General features: G+C 33.4%; 1 annotated feature.

The window, feature by feature from the left end:
- Positions 4,826–5,412: an enhancer, noted in NCBI's record as "NANOG hESC enhancer chr11:91450108-91450694 (GRCh37/hg19 assembly coordinates)". NCBI's record gives its function as "activates a minimal SCP1, AML or CMV promoter by ChIP-STARR-seq in naive and primed H9 embryonic stem cells {active_cell/tissue: H9 hESC(naive and primed)}" and the evidence as "EXISTENCE:reporter gene assay evidence [ECO:0000049][PMID:30033119]".

Genomic DNA, 6,088 nt, shown 5'->3' on the forward strand with positions numbered 1-6,088 from the left:
TTTTAGGATTTTACATCTATGCTTGTTGAGTGAGTTTGAACTGTATTTTTCTTACTTGCACTCTACTTGTTTAGTTCTGCCCTGAAGATTTTATGAGTCTGATAAAAAACAATAAGGAGTGTTCACATATTTTTATTCACTAAAAGTATTTACATTACACTGAGATTTTTTTTTTTCTTAAAGTTTAGTAGAACACTTCTGTTCATGTTAAAATTAACTTTTAAAAATATCAAAATATATGCTTTTGTGCAATCTTTTTCATTATTGATGTATAACTTAATGGCTTTAGGGTCAGAAAATACAAATATCACACCAATATTTTTGTTTCCTACACTTTGTTTCCATAAAGCAAGCTTTATGGCACAGAACATGACATATAGTTTTTTGTTATATTTAAGAAAAATGTGTGAAATATTCTTGGGTTAAATGTTTTTTCTACATCTTTTAAAGTTTTTTGATCTAATTTTCTTTACACTTATGAATGATTCTATCTACTTTATCTATCCATCACCTGAGAGAGCTATGCTTAAATATCCCAATATTAGAAAACAAATGGTAGATTTATTTTATCTTTATATACCTGTCAATTTTTGCTTTCTATATTTGGAAACTACATTACTTGGTGCATATCATTTAAAATTGATGGTGTTTCCCAGTGATACAATCCTTCCAAATAATGTTTTTACTTTAAAGGCTGTTGTCCTTTAGTTTACGTACCCCATCTTTCTTTTGCATAGTGTATTTTAGAGCATTACAGTTATGCTCCGTATCTAGACTCACAGGTGAAGCATGTTAACCCAATAAAACATCTAATTACGATTCTAGAAAGATAATAAGACTTTATGAATCTCAACTGCCTCATTTTCATAATGAGGGCTCTGACTGTGATGATCTTTAACGTCCTTACAACTCTGACGTTCTATGATCGTCCCCCTTATCTATGCCAAAGTCCTACATTTACTCTAACTTACATTTTGCCACCCTATGAAATAGCATAAATATGCATCTATTTCAGGTAATTCTATATCCCAAAATGGAAAGGAAGATCAGAAGGTCCATGCTATTCTTTTGAAATTATTTAAAAAAAAAAAAACAGGAACTTTTGTTTTGTGTGAATTTCTTTTTACAACTGTGATTTCATCATAGTCCTGCTAACAAAATACTCAAGCCAAAATCTGCTTTGGATGTTAGTATCTTCTACATAATTTTTGGGTGATCTAACAGCTAACTAGAAACAAGGAGAAGACAGTTCAAGGAGAGGAAAACAAGAGCAGAGATAATGCATTTATCTCAGCAGGAAAAGGAAATTTATAATAATTTGTACATGTTACCTGTATCCAAGCCAGACACATTTTATTCAAAGGCTGTTGGCCCAGCAGCCTTATCATCAAATATGACAGAACATAGTAAATAACTATTAATACTATTTTGTCTATCACAAAGTGTAGCAGAAATTTAAAGCCAGAAAGGACATTAGAAGTCATCAATTCTACATTTCTTCTTTTTAGAATAGAAAATTACGTCTCAAGGAGTGATTTACCGTATTACCTGTTTTACCATAGTATGCTTCTGATAAACACGTATTAATTACTAACTTCTTATAGTTAGAACCTACCAGAGATATCTGATCATAAGTCTATGTAAATGTACAACTCCCTTTTTACTACCTTAGTTACATTGTATGTTTTGCATTATAAGAACTTCATAATTTTTAATAATGTATTATATATATCTTAAGGAAGACTAAAAAATTATGTTGAGACAGAAGAAATACTTTGACTCAGAGATTTGAAAATGATTTTTTATATTAATTTGGAAATGTTTCTTCTTAAGTCAGCTGCTCTCCTTGGGGCTGACAGACATTGGGTATTTGTTCATTATAATTGGGTATATAAATTCAATATATATAATTAACAATTATGACTAAAAATAACTCACGAATTTATCTACATTGACCCTACTCCAGCTGGATTACCACCAAAATACTTTTTCAAGACCTTATTGGTTCAAGGATTTGGGGAATACATATTGTTGGCATTGAGTTCCATGGCTTGAAAAATCATTCCTACTAGCTTAGAATAAGGTTGGAATTATAAGATAACCAGAACTTTTAAAAAATCCACAATAAAGTCACCACATAGAAGAAGATAGTTATGAAAATACTAAATTCTGGAAGCTTCTTCAGATAGTCCTATTTCTTGCAGTACATAGTACTTCATAGTTCCTCAAGGTCCTCTAGGCCAGAAGTTCACCAAGTGTGATCTCAAAGCCAGAATCATCAGACTCACCTGGAATCATTTTAGAAAAGCAAATACTCAGCAGGCCTAGAGCTACTCAATAAGAAACTCTGTGCAGAAGGTAAGGAGATCCATCAACCTGTGTTTTAACAATCTTCCAAGTGACTCTAATGTACACTCATGTTTGAGAACCATTAAACTAGGCCATCTCCCACACTCTCTGTCTGCATTTTTTAAATGGGGAAAATAAAATACAGAAAATAACTACAATCCTTATGTCTTGAATATTGTGATTCTCTGGGTTTTCTCAGATCACACAAATAGTAACAAATCCAAGATGAGAAGATGTAACTCCTAACTTATGTAAAACTAAGGTTAGAATGATAAAATTTTAGAGGCCAAAGAGACTTTGAAATTGAATCGATGTATTTTATGCTCTCATGTACTTCTAAATAGTTATTACTCTTAGGATTTCTTATTTGCTGTCTGATTCTTCTACTGAATTGAATCTCCATGAAGCAATAGACTATACTTTTTTGATCATTATTAGTTATACAATGCCTTTACAGTAATTTCAATGTAGTAGCTGTTTAATAAATATCTACTGACCTAATGATTATTGACTATATAGACATAAACATACATTATATAGATCCAGAAACTGATAATAACACCGAATTTCAATTACATCCTCTTTCTAATCTGGTAAATTTTTAACAAAATCCATCTTCTCTGCTGATCCATATACATACATAAATTGACAGGTTTAGAAAGAGTTACTGGAATGTGGAGAGGGATGTTTACATATTCAGAAGGATGTTCTGATGTGTCTCAAAATAGAAAATCCATGACATATTTGATTTACCTTTGACGCACAGAAACACCTGGACAAAAAAGAGAATATTATCTTTCCATAATAAAAGAAAAATTCAGAATAAAAATACGAAATTTTTTAAATTTCTAAATATGGACCTCTAATTTATAAGTCCAATAACCTAGGGAATTTACAAAAATATATTCCCTCTTTAAGTAACAAGTAAATCAATTATAATTCATCTTGACACTAATATGAATGTCTGTATACATTTATTCATTATACGTTAATTTCTCCTTTGGGTTAACTGAAAGCTATATACAAAAAAAAATAAAACCTGAGACCTTATAAGAGTGCCTAGAATAATGTTTTGCTTATATGAAGACATAAAGATAATGTTTCTACCAAAAAGCAAAGCATCAGAGTTTAGACAAGAGGAAAAATGTGGGCAAGGCTGTATGGGCTAGACGTCTGTATTCAAATTACACCTCTGTTATGTACCAGTTGTACTCTTGGGCATATCTCTTCCTTTTCTGTTCAGTAAAATGTTGAATAATAATAGTACTTTCCTTGTAAGGATAATAGGGTTTAATGCATTAATACACATAAAGTACTTAGACATAAATGTTAGCTATTATTATAGAGAATAGAGTACTAAATTAGGACCTAAATCAGGTTCCATATATTTCTCTAACAATATGCTCTTAATATTAAAAGCAATTTGACAAAAATAGAAGTTTTGTAAGTAACTAGAGATGGATGGATGGATGTTGCAAATATGGACAGCCCTCTAGTCTCTCCACTGATTATTCAAACAAACTCACAAGATCCAGGTGAATTAAGTGACATTTTATTTGTGAATGTACTTTGAAAATGGTGAAATACTCCAGAGATGAAAAGTAATGGCAAAATGACAAATATTCAAATTATTTGCATAGTCTCGAAGGCTTTTCCTTGACTTTTTGGCCTCTTCCCTTGCTCCTGCCTTCCCTTCCCCAACTAGACATAAGCCTTCAGTGGACCTGTGAACATGTTACCCTCCTCCAGGCTTAGAAAGTTACTTCCCAGCAAATGTCCTAATCACCAATTGTGTGTCCTTCAGGTTTTTCTTAAATATTATTTCCTCAGAGAAATCTTTCAACCAGAAAAAATAGAAAAATAGGCCCCTTGTTAATGCTATTATATTAGTTATACTCAGGCTATAAACTGTGTACTATGCCAAATATCAAGAGTATTGAAAGTGAGATCTCTGTCTACCTTGTCTTGCTCACAGTAGGAACTTAAAAATAAAGTTGACTCAATGGGCGAATTAGTCATCCTTATAATCTGGTAATGAACAAAGTAAAATATGTTAAAGAGAAAGACTGATTCCGTTTGCTGCTCAATACAATTCTTTTATTTCATGGACCTCAATAAAAAAGCTCCCCGTGAGTTTCATGGGAAAAGAACATGTTTTTGAAGTTAGTCCATAGTAAATAGCTGAAAAATAAGACTGATGCTGAATTTTTCCATAAACATACTGAAAAATTGAGCTGCTTCTGTATATACATATTTTTGACTTTGTGTAAATACACAGTGAGGATGTATTTTCCCTTCTTGTTCCTAGTTTAACTCTAACTATTGTTTTTTAAAACAGTAATAACTTAATTACTAAATTAATTTTAGACACTAAAAATAACCCACTGGTCTCCATTCTCATCAAAATCCTAGTGGAGTTTTGCAACTATGCCAGACCCACCACACTTAGCAGATGTGACAGCAACTGCCAAAAGACAAAGCAAGGATCCAGGTACCTTCTTTGGTTTCTTTATATTTTAATGACAAAGTTTTCTATCTGAATTTTGTCCAAATTCAGAAAAAAGAGCAAGAGTGTTTATTTGAAATACTCTCCCAGGCCCAAATACTATCTTGCAGGAGAAACCAAACCATTTACCTAAGAAAGAACTGAATGTACATTTTATCCTCAGCAAACCTTACAATAACAAGATTTAGCTTGGGGAATGATGGTCGTTGACATACCTGCGGTGAAGTAATCTAAAACAGAGCTAGTCAATTGCTGTAAAGAAACTTGCAAACAATATCAAGGAATAAAACATGAGGCTAGTAACGGGGAACAAATAGATAGTAATTAGCAACAAGACAAAACAGGGTCTGCAGGATGTCAATTAGGAAGAGCTGCAGAGCCTCGGAGAAGTGAGGAAATGCCCAGAGCTAGGCTCTGCAGCCACTGCTCCCCTCCAACATGGCCCTGAATCAGCCTGCACCTCTGTTTCTTGCTCTCCCCCTCTGCATCCTCATTTTGCAAAGTATCCCGCATCTCTTTGGTGTCTATGCTTCAGAAAGTATAGGTGCAGGAGAGAAGAGTGGTGAAGGATAAAGGGGGATGATGGCAGGAACAAAGCCATTGATCTTTTATATATCAATTTTTCTCATCATACTCCTCTGAAGTATATGTGATTACATCCATTTTACAAATGAATACATTGATATCCATAGAGGTTAAATGAGTTACCAGGGTTTCACAGCTACTAAGTTTCAGCACCATGATTCCAGTATGTAGACCACGCATTTTCCACCATCTCCTCCAGCCTCTTTTTAGCCCTTCTTTATTAGTCCTTTCTCTGTGTAAGCATGAAAATATGCCTTCCAAAGGCTCCCAAATGCTTTCTAAATCTTAGGACCTCAGGGTCTCCCCCAAAGTCCCTGTTTTTCCTAACCTTCTTCCTTCAGCACCACTCTTATAGTATGTACACTCCATCTAAGAATTTTCCTGAACCACTCTAACGTCTTATTATCTCTTTGGAACATCACCATCTCCCTAGGCATATTCTCACATAAATTATGTTTATGACACTTATCTGTGTAATGATGCCAGCCCCATCTCATTTCAGACATTCAGTACTAACTCAACCCACTTCTTGCTTTTATATCCATTTGTAGTGCTAGTGCCCTCGCCTGGAGGACAAGAACTGAAATCTTTATTTTGGTTTAGTTCAGGAGTCTTTGTCATAACTACTGAACTCTGTTGCAGAAAGTA

This window comes from Homo sapiens, chromosome 11 (genome assembly GCF_000001405.40).
Source record: "Homo sapiens chromosome 11, GRCh38.p14 Primary Assembly".
Lineage (NCBI taxonomy): Eukaryota > Metazoa > Chordata > Mammalia > Primates > Hominidae > Homo > Homo sapiens.